We start from the raw sequence: 16,180 nt of genomic DNA, 5'->3' as shown, positions 1-16,180 counted from the left end.
TTTAAGTACTGTTAATTTTACATCATAGTGTTTAGGTCAAGGGATATCAGGAAAAGAGTGAACATCACCTAAAGACTTTACTTCCTCTTCTGTGGAAGGGATTCGTGCATTTTGGTTGTACACCCAAACTAAAACTATAGTTTTATTATGTTAAGCAGAAATATTAGTTTGTTATTGTCATTATTTGGAGATTAAATATAACTTAAAGAGTAGTGTATGGGTGTCAAGTCAACAAAAGGTGGGCCTTTTTTTTTTTTTTTTTTATTTAGACGGGGTCTTACTCTGTCACCCAGGCTGGAGTGCAGTGGCATGATCACAGCTCACTGCAACCTAGGCTTTCTGGACTCAAGCAATCCTCCCACTTCAGTCTCTCGAGTAGCTAGGACTAAAGAGGCGTTCCACCATGCCCAGCTAATACTTTTGCATCATAGTGACAGTGTTGCCCATGCTGGTCTTAAACTCCTGGGCTCAAGTGGCCCTCCCACCTCAGCCTCCCAAAGTGCTGGGATTGCAGGCATGAGCCACTGTGCCCGGCCGAAGGGTGGACTTAAGACGGTTAATTTTAGGTGAAAAGTTGTCTGGATTAAGGTAAACCTAGAAAAATAATAGAGCACTATTTCTGGATGTGTCTGTGAGGGTGTTTCCAGGAGAGATTGTGCTGTGCGTCAGTGAACTGTGTGGAAAGCTCTGTCCTAAATGTGGATAGGTACCATCCAATCAGCTGGGGGCCCAGGTAGAATGAAAAGGCAAAAAAGGTGAATTCTTGCTCTATCTGCTGGAGCTGGGAGACCCTTCTTTTCCTACCCTTGGACAGAACTCCAGGTTCTCCAGGCTTTGAAATCTCAGGCTTGCACCAGAGGCCTCCAGGGTTCTCATGCCTTCAGTCTCTGCTGAGTTACACCATCATTTTTTCTGTTTCTGAGACCTTTCTACCAGCATCCCAGGGTCCCCACCTTGCAGAATACCTGACATGGGGCTTGTCAGCCTCCATAATTGCATGAGCAAATCCCCTTAATCCCCTGTCATCTCTCTCTCTCTACATATATATCCCATTGCTCCTGTCTCTTTGGAGAACTCTGATTAATACTAATGGTAAGTTGTTCATCACTAGAAAGATTTGTTTACTGATCAGAGAATCAATTTTGGAGGGTTTTAAAGAGTAGGTTGAAGCATTATATGGGAGATTGGTACAGATGAACTTTTAGGGTCCCTTCTAGACTACAAGTTCTGTAAGTCAAGTGCTCTCCAAAACACTTAATGCCTTTTAACAATGAAGATTAAACTATGTTCAGTGTGGCTTAAAATGTTAATTTTATTTTATGTTAACTGCTTGAAAGTATGAAATAGACACTTCACTCAATTGCCCATTTCCTTTTGGTCACAAGTTTGCTATGTTTTCGTAGATCTAATTGGCTTTTGTTGGATATATACTGATTGGCAATTTCAATACATTTCCATAACATGGTGTAGTAGGAGGTTCACCTATATTTGGAGTTACATAGGTGAGTTTTAAAAATTGAGTTGAAAATCATGTTTTTGCTTGGTGCTCATCTTCACAAGTGTCCATTACGATGTTATAAGATGATGGATAAGTGTATTTTATGAGCTACCTGGGGAAACATCAGCTTAGGGTTTATCACAGCAGCTCCTCTGTGGATGGTGACATGGCATGATTGCCCCATGCATTGTCCCAATGCATCATGATTGATGACCATGCTGCAGAGATTACACAGCAAAAATAAGGGAGACTGGCTGTGGTGGCTCACACCTATAATCTCAGCATTTTGGGAGGCCAAGGCGGGAGGATTGCGTGAGCCCAGGTGTTCAAGGCAAGCATGGGGCAACATGGCGAGACCCCATGTCTACAAAAAATACAAAAAAATTAGGTGGGCATGGTGGTATACAACTGTGGTCTCAGCTACTCACGAGGCTGAGAATCCTCCTGAGAGGAGGGAGAATCACTTGACCTAGGAGGTTGAGGGTGCAGTGAGCTGTGATCACATCACTGCACTCCAGCCTGGGCAACAGAGGAAAATGCTGTCTTAAAAATAACAATAGAAAAGCATAACAAAGACCCAGGGAAAGAGCTGGGCATGGTGGCTCACCCCTGTAATCTCTTGTGATTACTCAACTTGTGAGGCTGAGGAAGGAGGATTGCTTTCAGGCAGGAGTTTCAGACTCTGTCTCTAAAAAAATATTTTGACTCCGGGCCGGGCATGGTGGCTCACGCCTGTAATCCCAGCACTTTGGGAGGCCGAGGCGGTTGGATCACGAGGTCAGGAGATCGAGACCATCCTGGCTAACATGGTGAAACCCCGTCTCTACTAAATGTACAAAAAATTAGCCGGGCATGATGGCGGGCGCCTGTAGTCCCAGCTACTTGGGAGGCTGAGGCAGGAGAATGGTGTGAACCTGGGAGACGGAGCTTTCAGTGAGCAGAGATTGCGCCACAGCACTCCAGCTTGGGTGACAGAGTGAGACTCCGTTTCAAAAAAAAAAATTTTTTTTGACTCAAAAAGCATCGGAGAAAACTGTGCATTTCTATGGAGAGGCATGCAGAGGTAAGATCTAGGACAATAAGGTGTGATCCAATAGTAATCACCTGGAGTGAACCTGGCAAAGCCTGGTTGTTCAGATTTTTCTTGGCCTCTCTGTGACAGTTTCTCTCCAGGTATAGAGGGTACAGGGCAGGACACCTGTCACATGAACTTCTTCAGGGGAGGAGTGAGGGAGAAGATCAGAGAGTGACCTTCCTGCTTCTGAGGTTTTCTCAATGTCGTTCAGCTTAAAATATTCAAAATGATGAAGTGCCATATTGTGGGGTATGGTGTTGTGATCCCCAGCACAGCCAATGCAGAGAAAGGCATCAGAATATGAAGTGCTTAAGAAACAAAAATTATCATGCAGAGGGAAAGTAATGAGGAAAATAAAGGCCTGACTCAAGTGTAAATAAAGCTGATTGCAGAAACAATAATTCCTTTGCTTACTCTTTTCAGCTGATATATATCTTTTACATAACCAACACTGAGATAATTAGAATCCCTTCCCAATTTCAACACATAAGTTCTATCTCACTGTTGCACAATTTATTTGGAGGTATGATACATAATTTTTCGTAGATATTTATCAGGTGCTTATTTCATAATTATTTCAATCTTAAAATAATTGACTAATATCAAATCGTAGCTTGTTAAAAATGAAAATTATCTACAGTATATTTTCAAATGACAAGTGTAGGTTTCATGTAAAAATTAATGAGACACAGTGGACATAAGTCTACAATTTTACATATTACTCATATTGTAATATCTTCATTATTTTGGATTTGATAAAGAGAAAATGTTACAGATTGTCCTTCATTTTCTTTTTCAAGAATACTGGAAAACACTGCAGTATTGGTTATCCTGAAACTCGTGGTATTGATCTGTATGCTTGTGGCTTAACCGCAGTTTTTTGGTTCTTATGTGTGTACATAGCATAAAGAATGATTAAAAATATCCAACAGTAAGTTTTGAATTGGTACATAACAGTAGTGATCAATACAAATACGTATATTTAAGTCTACTAAAGCCAAACTCCTCAAATAATAAAATTTTAAATTACCTTTAAGATTTCCCAAACGGAATCATACTCATCCCCTAAACAGCTTGTAGCGATTTCATTTTAGTCTAGGTATAGCAGCTCAGCATTTGTGCCTGATCACGGCTGTACTTCACTAAACTCAAATCAGAAATGTTATTCTGTCTTGAGAGCCAGTGCACTTCCACAATAGGAGTTCATTTGACCACAAGCTGGTGTTCTCCACAAAGTCACTTGTATTTAAATCAGAGACACAAACCCCTTTCTTTGGTTCCTCTACCCCTCCCCCTCTGCCGCCCGCCTGGGTATATTTTCCTTAGCATGTGTAATGTTAATTGGAGTTACATGTGTGCGCTTGGATCTGAATATACTTCCAGATGTGACTTTTGTAAGCAAGTTCTTTCAGACTGAGCCCTTTCATATTTCAAATAAAATTGTACCACACAAGATATCTTCAATTAAAAAAAAATCTAAAGGACACAGCCATTAGTATGATTAAACACAACATTAAAAAATATTAAATTACATCTATATTCTGAATTAGGTCATCTGATTTTGGTTCTTGATTTTCTCTTCTGTTCCACTTTAAAAACTGCACAGATCCTGGAGGTGTGATCTTAAACTTAAGGACTAAATCTGTGTTATTCACTGTAAAAAATCATTTAATCCTATTTGGCTTTGTAGAAAACTGAGGACAATATTAGAAATTTTATAAGGTAAAAATGTATACAAAGTGTTGTCAGCTGCCTACAATTAATTTTATTTGTACCTTTACCCGCTGTTTTCATTATTTTGTAATGACAGTAGATGTGATACATGAGAAATAACCGCTTTTGTGTATATCTTGCATCGTAGCTGGAGAGGAAAGCAGGGTTGAGACAGGATGAGAGGGCTAAGTGTGAAAAGAATGAAGAAGCAATTAAATCTCACTTCCTACAAGGTCTATGCAAAAGCACAAAATTATTTCCATGGTCATGTGGCCAAGTCTGCCTTTATTTGGCAGGAATTCTCTTATCTTTTAAGTCAATGAGTCTTAATTTTCTCCAACAGAATTAAATGAAAGCTGAATCTCAGTAACAAAGGCAGACTTGTCTCTTAAAAACATACGCACTCCTGTGTCCTGTAGCTAAAGGAAATACAGCTAAATTTTGTCATGTTTGGTGAAAAATTATAATAAATAATACTCCAGAGCAAAGCATTTTATACTTAAAATCCAGAGAAACATTGGTTTTACTCAATCAAAGGAAATGGGGGAAAATCCACCATGAGCCATGATATGCTCCTCCAATAACACTCGGAGCTGAATTCTAAGCCATTTGCCAAGAGCTCATTTATAACTCTCTGCCTGGTTCTACTTCATTGGCAAAGGCAGATACCAAAACAAGTAATTACCATAATTATTTTGGTCCAAGATTAAATCCTTTTGGAGGGTACACATTTGTTTTTGTATTGGATTTTTAATAGTCATATACATCTGAATACAATTTCCATTACACCTATTTATGAATACCAAAATATTTGTCCCAGTCATAGTTGGATGGGCTGATAATTCAAAATATTCCTATCTCCTTTCGACTCTTTACTGTTGCATCTTTTCATCACCACCTTAGTTTCCATCTCTCTACTTTGGGAGGTACAGCAAATAACATGCATAATTTAATTTTGAGCTTTTAAAAGCAAAGAAGTAGATTTAGTTTTTCCCCAGATCATTTTATTAAGGAAATAGTCTTACAGCTAAGAAAAATCCAATCTGAAATACAAAAATGAAACAAAAATGCACAACGATATATTTTATTATATGGGCTTGTTTTGATCAATCAATCAAACAGACCAAAAATTCTTTAGGTCCATATTTCAATGCAGATATCGATGGGGGAGGTTAAATCCAAGTCTCCAATGTTTAATGAGGTGTCTATTTCATTCTTATTAACTGAAATACTTTAAAAACTAAAGTGGTTAAACTTAATAATTTTATTAGACTGTAATAGTTATTTTATTAACATTTTTCTCCAAGGATTTTTCTGTCTGATTATGAGTACTTTGCAATTTCAGACAGTATGATGGATGCTACTTTTCTATGACAAGAATTTTAACAGCCTTCCTCAGCACTCAATGCACACCCAATTATGCGTCTGAGCTAGTAACCTTGAATTTATGTTGCCATGGTGACAAACTGGTCATGCATTATGGATTATCATTGAAATTCTACACTCCTACCTAGCATAATGAGAGTTGGGGACTTAATCAAATCAGCCATTCTGTGTGACACAAAGTGAAGAACTAGCTCTTATTGTTCAGCGCCGAGAAAGGAAGCAGGCCTGCCGGGGAGGCAGCTGCAGTGCTCCAGCCTGATAGATGGCCCTTATATACATTTGTGAATGTATAGACAGATGGTGCTCAATGCCTGGAATTTCCAGCTTAGGCGGCAGCTGTTCGGATAACCTCTGCCGTCTCACCTTGTTGTCATGGAACATTGAACAGAGACTGAGAATGTGCACGGATACGTTGACAACTGACTGCATTTACACTGCATGGCATCCTCCTTTTATCTTAAGACGCTGGGCTAGAAGGAAGGCAGAGTGAGGGTAGACGAGATGGGTGGGGGAGGGCAGACAGGAGTGCAAGCTTTGGAAGGCCCAGAGCCTGGTGCTAGAATATCTCCCATTGCCATTTTATATGAAGACAGACAGACAATGTTAGAGTGGTAATCTTTGCCTTGGAAAAATCTAGTTTGCTGCTTTTTCAAAGGCCAGAAATCATATGCAGAGCCTATCCTTGGATATAGTTGAAGCTTCCTCTTCCCCCATAGGTAATAGGTATCTTTGTTATCTCTTTGCCTGTTACAGAGACAAAATAGCAGCAACTTAAGGTCAAAAGGAGCAGGTTGGATGTCAGGTCAGCATCTCAACAGAGATGAAAGCCCTGACTTCACGTGGTTACTCTTTTTCCTGAACGTGCTGAGGATAAACCAGTGGAGAAACAGCCGTGGGTACTTCCCGATTGGAAATAGTTTTCACACAGATAGACTTATTAAATAATCTTTCTGTCTGTCAGAAATTATTGAATTAATGCAATGCTTTAGAAAGGCAGCTGCTTGTGAACAGAACATCAAGGTCCTCATGGAGCTCTCAGGTTCCACAGGAGTGTTTCTTAACCAAGGAATGAAGATACATGATTAAGCTTGCAGTACACCTGCCCCCTTCCTCTCTCCCCCACCGCATCCCAGGGTTGTTGATGACGTTGTGGTCATTAATCACTCCATAACCCCACGCTTTACAGGACCTTCAAAATGCCACCGGTGGCATTCTACCTGCTGATTGCTTTCATGTGAAATTTTCTATTTGCTTAATTTTGTGATTTTTTAAATTATTTTTTATTTCCTTCCCAAAGTCAGAATTTAAAACTGCCTCAGCCACGTGATTTGGGAGGCTTATTCGTGTGTGCATGGAGGAAGGCCTTTCTTAAATATTTCATGAGGATTCGTGCCTCTGGCCTGATCGGCTAGACCTCTCTGACTGCAGAATAAGTGAAAATGTTGTAACAACGGAACATGCTTTGACCCAGTAGATTATAACTGCTCTGAAAAAGCCATCGCACTCTCTTAGGTAAATGCCTAGCAGCCTGTGGGATATTCTGGTAAGGTCTAGGAGACAGGAAAAGCTCTGTAGCCATGCTATCCATACCTGTGGCCAGTAAGAAGGTGGCTTTTTATATGTCTTGAAATCAGGTCAATATTACACATTTAAAAGCTTCTTGGGAGCTATTCTTGACACCTAGGGAATTGTATGCATTGAAAATTTTAAGAATTAATGGAAAAGTTTTTGTTATTTCTGAGTGCTTTTCTGAGCTATCTATGTATACATAGACATAAAGACTTAATCTAGATTTTAAGCATGTAAAACTGTCATTAAAACAATAATATTATATTAAAAATAAACTGTAATATTTGCCATAAAATTAAATAACTAAATGAAAAATGTAGGGATAAAATCTGCAACCACCTAAATATATTTCTAAGCATCTGTCTTATATGAATATGTCTTATGTTTGGGTGGAGGAAGTAGTTTATGTCAAATATAAAAAGACAACATTTATTTGAATTCTGCATCTTTGTGTCCATGCATAAGCAACATTTTAAATATAGAATCACCAAAAATATTTTACTCCAATTCTCAATTTTCCTGTGTAGCATCACTTAATGGATGGTTTTATTCTTCCTATAAAAGTGTTATAAATGGCCATACTGAGAGCCTATATCCAAATGGTATTTTTGACTCTAATTACATATTTTAAATTTTTGAACAAAAATAAAATAAGAGATAATGTATTTTTCAATTAATTCTTCAAAACTACTCATATATAAATATGCTCTGGACAGATATATTTAAAATGGTCACAATTAAGTCATTTTGTTTATTTTCTTTAAAAGTAATTATGTAGGTGTTATCTTAGCCAACAGAAAATTTTTTTCTAAACATGAAAATTATTCACATTTGATGAAAATTTCTTATTTTTAAACTTTCTTTGCAAGTTTTCCAGTTTTCAACATATATTAAATATCTAGATATTAACTAATTAAACATGCAATAAATATAGAAGCAAATTCAAAGGATACATTTCTAAAGCCAAAATTTATTGACTGGAACTTAGGTATTACTCCAATGTTTAAAATCGAAAGCATATTGTCAATTGCAGAGGTTGAACCATGGAAGTTGGACCATCCCTTAGGGTCAAAGGAGTCTCTTCACTGAACTCCTGCCTTATTTGGTTACATCCTCAACCGATCCTAGCAAGGTAAGAATTATCTCACAGCATTCTTTTTAGTTTATCTAAAATTTTTCTTAGTGGGTTATCATTTGAAAATGTTCATGAAAACAGACCTACAGATAAAAAATGTTTTTTTTTTATCATGCTTGTATAATTTCTATTTTTTGTGTGTGATTTCACTGTCTCCCACACATGGAACCACTATTACCATCCCTCTTGTTAAATAAGTTACTAGAACCCGAGGATGTGTAAAGCTAAATTTTCATTTTATGTAATTATATTTATTAAACATGTATTAAAATTGCATACGGGTTGGGAATGGCATGGTGAGAAGAATTCTTAAAGGAGAATATATGAAAATGTGTTTTCCTGTCCTTAGGGCTCTTGGAATTTAGACTGGATATTGAGAAATGGGCTGGGCGCGGTGGCTCACGCCTGTAATCCCAGCACTTTGGGAGGCCGAGGCGGGTGGATCACGAGGTCAGGAGATCGAGACCATCCTGGCTAACACGGCGAAACCCCGTCTCTACTAAAAATACACAAAATTAGCCGGGCGTGGTGGCGGGCGCCTGTAGTCCCAGCTACTCGGGAGGCTGAGGCAGGAGAATGGCGTGAAACCGGGAGGCGGAGCTTGCAGTGAGCCGAGATCGCGCCACCGCACTCCAGCCTGGGCGACAGAGCGAGACTCCGTCTCAAAAAAAAAAAAAAAAAAAAAAGTGAAACTGGCCTTCCCGCGTCCTGCTGGTATCTGGCTCTATGGCGGTGAAACTGGGAAACAAAAACGCCCTCAGAGCCGCCAGTGTCCGTGCCCCACTCCCCAAGCTTCCACTCCAGAGAGACTTCCACAGGAGAGGCAAACAGCAGCCGGCGATTTCCAGCTCGGCTTCACCAAATGTGCTGGTGCATCATGGCTCTTATTGCATGGCTGTTGGCCGCGGAAGAAACGTAAGGCGGCAACCTCAGAGCTTAAGCTGCGCCAGCACCCTTTCCTTCCCCTCCGGCCCTCTGTGTGGCTCTGTCTATTGGTGCCCATGTACCAGGATGGTTGGGTCCTCTTGCTGTCATAAGTGAAGCAGCACAGTTTCAGAAGTGTGTGTTCTAGGAGAGTAGTGTACTACTTTGCTGTGAAAAACCAGAGTGAACACCGTTGACCTGTGTCTTGGCTGCCTTTAGCCTGCTGAGGCTGTGGCTCCCTTCCTGAAAAGGAAGGTCAACCCAACCATCCGAATTCAAACAGGCTTCTCCCTCCTTCAGAATCCCTCGGGTATGAGTGTCAGCTTTGAAAACGAATGAACCTGCTCCTGAAGCAATGCGGCCTCATTGAGGAGAAGTCAACACCCTCACCGAGATGCAGACTCTTACAGGTCAGGAAGCCAGGCCAGGACTGAGAGGGGTAGATGACAGGGCTGAGAGCTGAGTTGGCCCACAGCTTCACTTGGTCAAAGTCAGGTCAACCCGGCCTTCAAACATTTCCTCCTCTCTTTTTCTGCTTTACCGCAGCCTACTCTGACCCTGGGATCTCTCCTGACCTAACCTGCTCTCAAGCTTTTGCAGTTGCTAAGGGGAAATTTAACATGTGTTCTGGGAATACCTCCACCCGACTCACCTGAGAGCACGGGCCTATATTTAGGTGGTGAGGTGTGAACTACAGCCAAGAAGAGGGGAAACTTGCCCTATTCCTCCTGCTTCCTTATTTCATGAGAATGTATTTCTTCAGCCACAGGGTACAATTGTACCCTGGAAGAGCCAGATGGAGGCCAGGGGAGCAGAGGCATCAGGATGCGATGAATAGATGAGGTTCCCCAGGAAGATGCAGAACGTGGGAGAAGCATTGCTCCTGGGTTCTTCCAGCCACGTCCTCCCGCCCTCCTTCCTGCACAGCCTGTGTGTATGCATATGCACCTATGTCTGTGTGTTTGTGCATAAAATGTGGGAACAACATGGCTTAAGGCACCTGTTTTTAAATATCTTTTAAGCAGCAGAGCAATTTTCAAGTAAAATTCTAAGAAATCTGGTCTCTAGTGCAGATTTCAGGAAATGTGGGCTGAAGTGGCATTGTGGCCTGCTCCTCCCCCAGGTCAGTCCTTCCTCTCACAGAATTCCCATAGTTCCTGGCAGGGTATGGAGAATCCCTTCTATTCAGGAAGAGAATGTGAAAAACCACTGGTCTAGAAGAAAGCGGGAAAATGAGTGCAACACCACCAAATTCTATGAAATCTTGAACAACGCTCTTAGCATTTCTGTCGCCTTATCTGTAACATGAGGAAATCATACCCCCTGTGTGAAAGACTTCTTGAGCTAAAGAAATTCAGCACTGAAGAACATAGAACATAAGATAATGGTGAACTATCCATGTGATGTTGCCTGATTTCCTGAAAATCTGTTCAGAAAAAAAGGGTGTGGAGTTACACTCTGAATAATCATAGACAATCTCTAGGAAATTTTGGGAACAAAATAAATTATAACAGATGTTTAGGAAATGCACCCATCAGTATGTTCATATACTTACCATTGATACCCCACATATATATTATATATATAAATATTATATATATTATATATTACATACATGTGTATATTATATATATTATGCATGTATATATGTATATATGTATTATATATTATATTATATATATAATATTTATATATTATATATACTATATAGTATATATAATACAGATATAGTCTATATAATATATATTATATAGATATAGTCTATATAATATATATTATATAGATATAGTCTATATATAATATATAGACATGATTCTATGTTTTTTATATATATATATATATATATATATATATATATATATGAAGAAAAGTAGTTCATTCAGGTTCAAAATTAACTTATTGTCAAATTGAAAAATTCTTGTTTAATTTTCATCCGTGACGTTAACTTGCTCTTTGCTTGGTAGAATTGGATTTGCTCAGAACACCGTCCAGCAACTACAGAGGAGACCCAGCTAATGTAAGGGAATTTGCTCAGACTTTGTGAGCCACACCTTCTCACGAGACCCTGATGGGAGCCTGAGTCATCTGCAAAGTGACCTCCCGCCCTCCAGGTCTGTGCCCTCCTGACTGCAGAGCAGCCCCTTGGCTCAGCATCCCTCTCACTCCACGACACCACAGGAGTGGAGGAACAGATATTAGGTATGAAGTAAGCGATATAGTTCGGCTGTGTCCCCACCCAAATCTCATCTTGAATTGTAGCTACCAAAGCCCCATGTGTCATGGGAAGGACCCAGTGAGAGGTTATTGAATAATGGGCGTGGGTTTTTTTCTGTGTTGTTCTCATGATAATGAATAAGTCTCATGAGATCTGATGGTTTTATAAAGGCCAATTCCCCTGCACACACTCTCTTGCCTGCTGCCGTGTAAGAGGTGCCTTTGCTCCTATGCCTTCCACCATGACTGTGAGGCCTCCCCAGTTATGTGAGACTGTGAGGCCTCCCCAGTTATGTGAAACTCTGAGTCCATTAAACCTGTTTTTCTTTGTAAATTACCCAGTCTTAGGTATTTCTTCATAGCAGTACGAAAATGGGCTGATACAGTAAAGGAAAGCTTATTTGGTTTCCCTTTGCTGTGGCCAAGTCAGTCCTGGGGCATTTAGAACACAAGTCAGTCAATTGTGCTTTCTTTAACAATACAATTCTTCACAAAAAGGGTGGCCAAATGTTGCTGTTTTCCTGCGATGGTCCTGGTTTCTTCCTACTGACCTCACGTAACTATTAAGAGCATTTTCATTCACTACCAAAGGTGTAAAGTTGAATAATCAATATTATGGTCAACCTATTCATTAACATGATTACATATTGTCATTAATTTGTATTACTATTATAAGTCAAGATTCTAGATAAAACAAAGTTGAATTAACTATATCAATAAGTACTATATAAGAGCTTCATTATCTGAATTTAAACTATTACTTATCAGTGCCTAAATTAGTTCTAACATTCTTATTAGGGTTACACAAAAACAGCCTCTGCCTTTCAACATTTCTTCAATGAAGTAGAAACAACCCTCAATCTTTTAAGACTCTTCAGCGGTGACCATGCTGCTGCGTGGTTCATGCTGTTAAGTCACGTGTTTCAGGGTTGATGTCTAAGCAGCAGTGACATAAAATTCCGATGTCACCATGCTCAGCTGTTCTCCAACCTGGCCTGACTCGCACTCCCCTTGGTACTCTCTGAAGTCATAGTGCTGGGTGTGTTCATTTTATTTTTTTCTCTCATCTAAGACCCAGAACAGAAATGCTCTGAGCTATGGTTCACAAGAAGAGAGAACAAACAGGATGCCACAGCTGCGCAATTTGAAGGTAGCAGCATGTTTGTTAAGCAGAGTGCACACTGATTTCTTTACAGAACAATAGTAATTTTTCTTCTTACAATAAAGCAATGCCAGGTTATCATTAAGGTGGCACATCTTGGTGTGTTAAGAGCCCAGTATTCTGCAAGTAGCTCACTGTAGAATGCCAACCTGAGTTTAATAAGAAAGACAATGACAGAGAGAGAGAGAGAGAAAGAATGAAATGAATTGTCCCCCCACTAATACATATCCACACCAAATGTTGATTTGGTGATGCTAAACCAATGCAATTTCAATCTTATTATGAACTAATTAAACAAAATATTTTAAATAAAAATAAAATATATTCTAAAATAACTAGAAAATAAGTATACAAATACAATTTTCAATAAAAATACTTTGCATCATAGTATATTTACTTACTTTTGATTCCCACCAATCCAAGTGTTGCCATAATCAATATCACTTTGAGAAGAAAGCTAAGACCATTGATATTGCTATAAGGCAATTAGAGTAGAAAAACAAAGGGCATAAGCCAGCCATAAGCTGAAGTGGTGCAGAAGGTCTAAAGGTCATAGAGAGCTAGAAGAGGAACACTAGCAATATAGTAGAGGAACAATATGTAAGAAGCAAAAATAACTATAAGTGTCCAGGTGAGGTGAATAATCAGTAGTCGGTGTCGGTCAGATGATTCCAAGGATCTTAGCGTAGTTAAGGCATTATCAACTTCAAAAGTGCTCCAGAGAACTCGGGGGAAGATAAGAAAGGAAAAATTGAGATGAAGCAAAACTTGAAAATAGGAGCTAAGTGCTAAGGATTACATCCTTTTTACTTATCAGAGAAAAGATGTAGAGAGATCTAATAATAGGCTTTAACAAACAGGCAGTGAGAGGGGAAACTGGACCCACTGAAGAAGAAAAAATGGGCAAAACTAGACTTGTGTGTATGCATGGATACTTTTATTTAAGCCAAGAGGGATGCTTTTCTCCCAAGATAGGTATTAAATTACTAGGTTATGACTGAGGGAATCTGAAGTTTTCTTCCCAAGAGGATTTTATTTTTGCTTTTTTTTTTTTTTTTTTTTTTTTTTTTTTTGCGGGGTGCTGGGGACAGGGGAAAGAGGAGACCACTTATTCTCTGGTTCAGGTGAGTCTTTCCGTGGGACGCAGGCACCTGGCCAGCGGATGCGCCCTGACTTTCCCTGTGTCCCTGTGAGCCCATTGGCAGTGCTGGCCAAGTCCCTGCATGGAGCTGGATGGTTATTGAGTGTGGGTTCTCTTTGGTAGCCACATTTCTTGAAGGTTACTTAGAAGTTTGTATTTTCTTTTTTCTTTTCTTTTCTTGTCTTTTTTTCTTTTCTTTTCTTTTCTTTCTTTTTTCTTTTCTTTTCCTTTTTAAATGCTTTCTCTTGATGAGTTTCACAGAGCAGCTGTATTACATGCTATTTTAATGCATTTAATAAGAAAATAGATCATCATCTTCCCCAGGTACAAGTGATGGCTGGAATGCATGCACCTCCTTTTGGCTCCCTCTTCAAGCCCCATGAACACTGCATGGAAACGGACTTGTTAATGTCCAAGGCCCATCAACAGTGTTGACCCCAGGAGGGACCCAGGCTGTGACAGTCCTCAGTAGCTGCAAGCACACAGATGCGGGAAGACGCCCGGCCTGGAACGTGGAGTCCCGAGTCAGCAGTGAGGACCCCATAAGAGCATCTCCTTACCCCGTGGGATCCCTGCAGCCCTGCGAGCTGGCAGCACCAGGCACTCTCGAATTGGAAGTGAATGTGGTGCAGAAAGAAAGCAGACTGGGCAACAGTGTGTTTAGGACACAGCGAGATCTTCAGGTGTCTCCAGTCTCTGGGTGTCTGGACCACTGGTCCTCCCCACAGGCAGAAGCCTGCGCTCCACTCTCAGGTGGGCTCCAAGGTGCTGCCTCCCAGCCTGGCGCCTGCCCAGACTACAGGGGACCTTCCCTGGTTGCCCACAGCCCGGCCTCTCTGCCCCACTGGTTCCTGGCAGGAGCAGGCAGAGTCTTCTCGAGGAGCTGACAGTCTCAAAGAAAAACATGCAGATTATACAGATATTGATACTGGAGCTTTGCCAGACCACCTGACCTCAAGATTAAAGACTTATTTCTAAGGCTTATATGTTTTGGTTTCTTGATTTTTAACGTTTTCCTCCTTAATTCATCTGGGATTTATTTAGATATACAGACATGTTTTTAAAGTGTTATCTTGCTGTAGGCGTAGTCCATGAGAAATGCTTTGGGGAAAGTGGGGGTAAGGCAAATGAAATACAGTGCTGGCAGAGGACGGTGGGTCTTGACGTGAAGCAAGTTCAAATTAATTCTTTTTTTATTATTTATTTATTTATATTATACTTTAAGTTCTAGGGTACATGTGCACAACGTACAGGTTTGTCACATATGTATACGTGTGCCATGTTGGTGTGCTGCACCCATTAGCTCGTCATTTACATTAGGCATAGCTCCTAATGCTATCTCTGCCCCCTCCCCCCGACCCCACGACGGGCCCCGGTCTAATTACTAACTCCCAGGGGATCAACCGAGGTTACCAAGAGAACAGTCAGAAAGTGTCCAGGTTGACTTAAAGGTTTATTTTCAGAAAACTTCTTGCATCCAGGAGTCCCATGGTAAACAGATCCTGAAAACAAGTCCAGCAGTTTCGGCAGCAAGTTTCAAGGGACGTCCCAAGAGGGTGTGGCAAAGCAGCCCATGTCCCAGCCTCTCTAGATTCTTTAGAAACTTCTCCTATGAAAAGCATAAAGTGAATGACTTTCTCTCTATTAGAGGCATTTCTGTTTTAAATATTTTGGAATTAAGGCAAATATTTCAAGTCAGCGTTGTTCAAAAGGAGGTCTCTGCAACAGATGACTTAGAATTATCGCAAAAATGCAGAGTCCTGGACCTACTAGATGTGGCCAATCAAAATCCCATCAGAGGCACTCACTTACTAACTGATCATAACACAGGGAGTGCTCTGCAATGGTGAAGTTTACGCATCAACTTGATGGGGCTGAGGGATGCCCAGAAAGTTGGCAAAAACATTATTTCTGACTGTGTCTCTGAGGATATTTCTGGAAGAGATTAGCATTTACATCAGTAGACCAGTGAAGGAGAACAGCCCTCAACAATGTGGATCTGTGTCATCCAATCCACTGAGGGCAGGAATAGAAAAAAAAGGTGGAGGAAGGGCAAATTTGCTTTCTTCTTGAGCTGAGACATCCTTCTTCTCCTGCCCTCACACATTGTCCTCCTATTCTCAGGCCTTGGAATTCAAATCTAAATATACCACCGGCTTGCCTGGTTCTTCAGCGTATAGACAGCAGATCATGGGACTTCTTAGTGTCCATAATGGTGTGAGCCAATTCCCACTATATATATATATGTATATATATATATATGTGTATATATGTATATATGCATGTATATATGTATGTATATATGTATGTATATATGTGTATATGTGTTTATATATGTATATATGTATGTATATATGTGTGTA

The 16,180-nt window shown here is 40.2% G+C and overlaps 1 long non-coding RNA gene across 2 annotated transcripts, besides 2 other annotated features; it reads left to right on the top strand.

Annotated features, from left to right (window-relative positions):
* Nucleotides 3,166–6,573: an enhancer, noted in NCBI's record as "VISTA enhancer hs1496". NCBI's record gives its function as "enhancer in: neural tube[15/16] | hindbrain (rhombencephalon)[15/16] | midbrain (mesencephalon)[13/16] | forebrain[14/16]" and the evidence as "EXISTENCE:transgenic organism evidence [ECO:0001131][PMID:17130149]".
* Nucleotides 6,974–14,799, top strand: LOC105373399 (uncharacterized). 2 transcript variants are annotated; one of them, XR_922740.2, is made up of 5 exons: nt 6,974–7,184; nt 8,275–8,373; nt 9,601–9,710; nt 11,265–11,499; nt 14,142–14,799. It is a non-coding gene; the product is annotated as an uncharacterized LOC105373399 (long non-coding RNA). The 2 variants fall into 2 exon arrangements; XR_922739.3 differs by having other exon boundaries at nt 8,230–8,373; nt 14,142–14,750.
* Nucleotides 14,541–15,042: an enhancer, noted in NCBI's record as "H3K4me1 hESC enhancer chr2:5541149-5541650 (GRCh37/hg19 assembly coordinates)". NCBI's record gives its function as "activates a minimal SCP1, AML or CMV promoter by ChIP-STARR-seq in primed H9 embryonic stem cells {active_cell/tissue: H9 hESC(primed)}" and the evidence as "EXISTENCE:reporter gene assay evidence [ECO:0000049][PMID:30033119]".

Source organism: Homo sapiens, chromosome 2 (assembly GCF_000001405.40).
Source record: "Homo sapiens chromosome 2, GRCh38.p14 Primary Assembly".
Lineage (NCBI taxonomy): Eukaryota > Metazoa > Chordata > Mammalia > Primates > Hominidae > Homo > Homo sapiens.
Note: the sequence above shows the minus strand (reverse complement) of the source record. Positions and strands in the feature narration are given on the sequence as shown.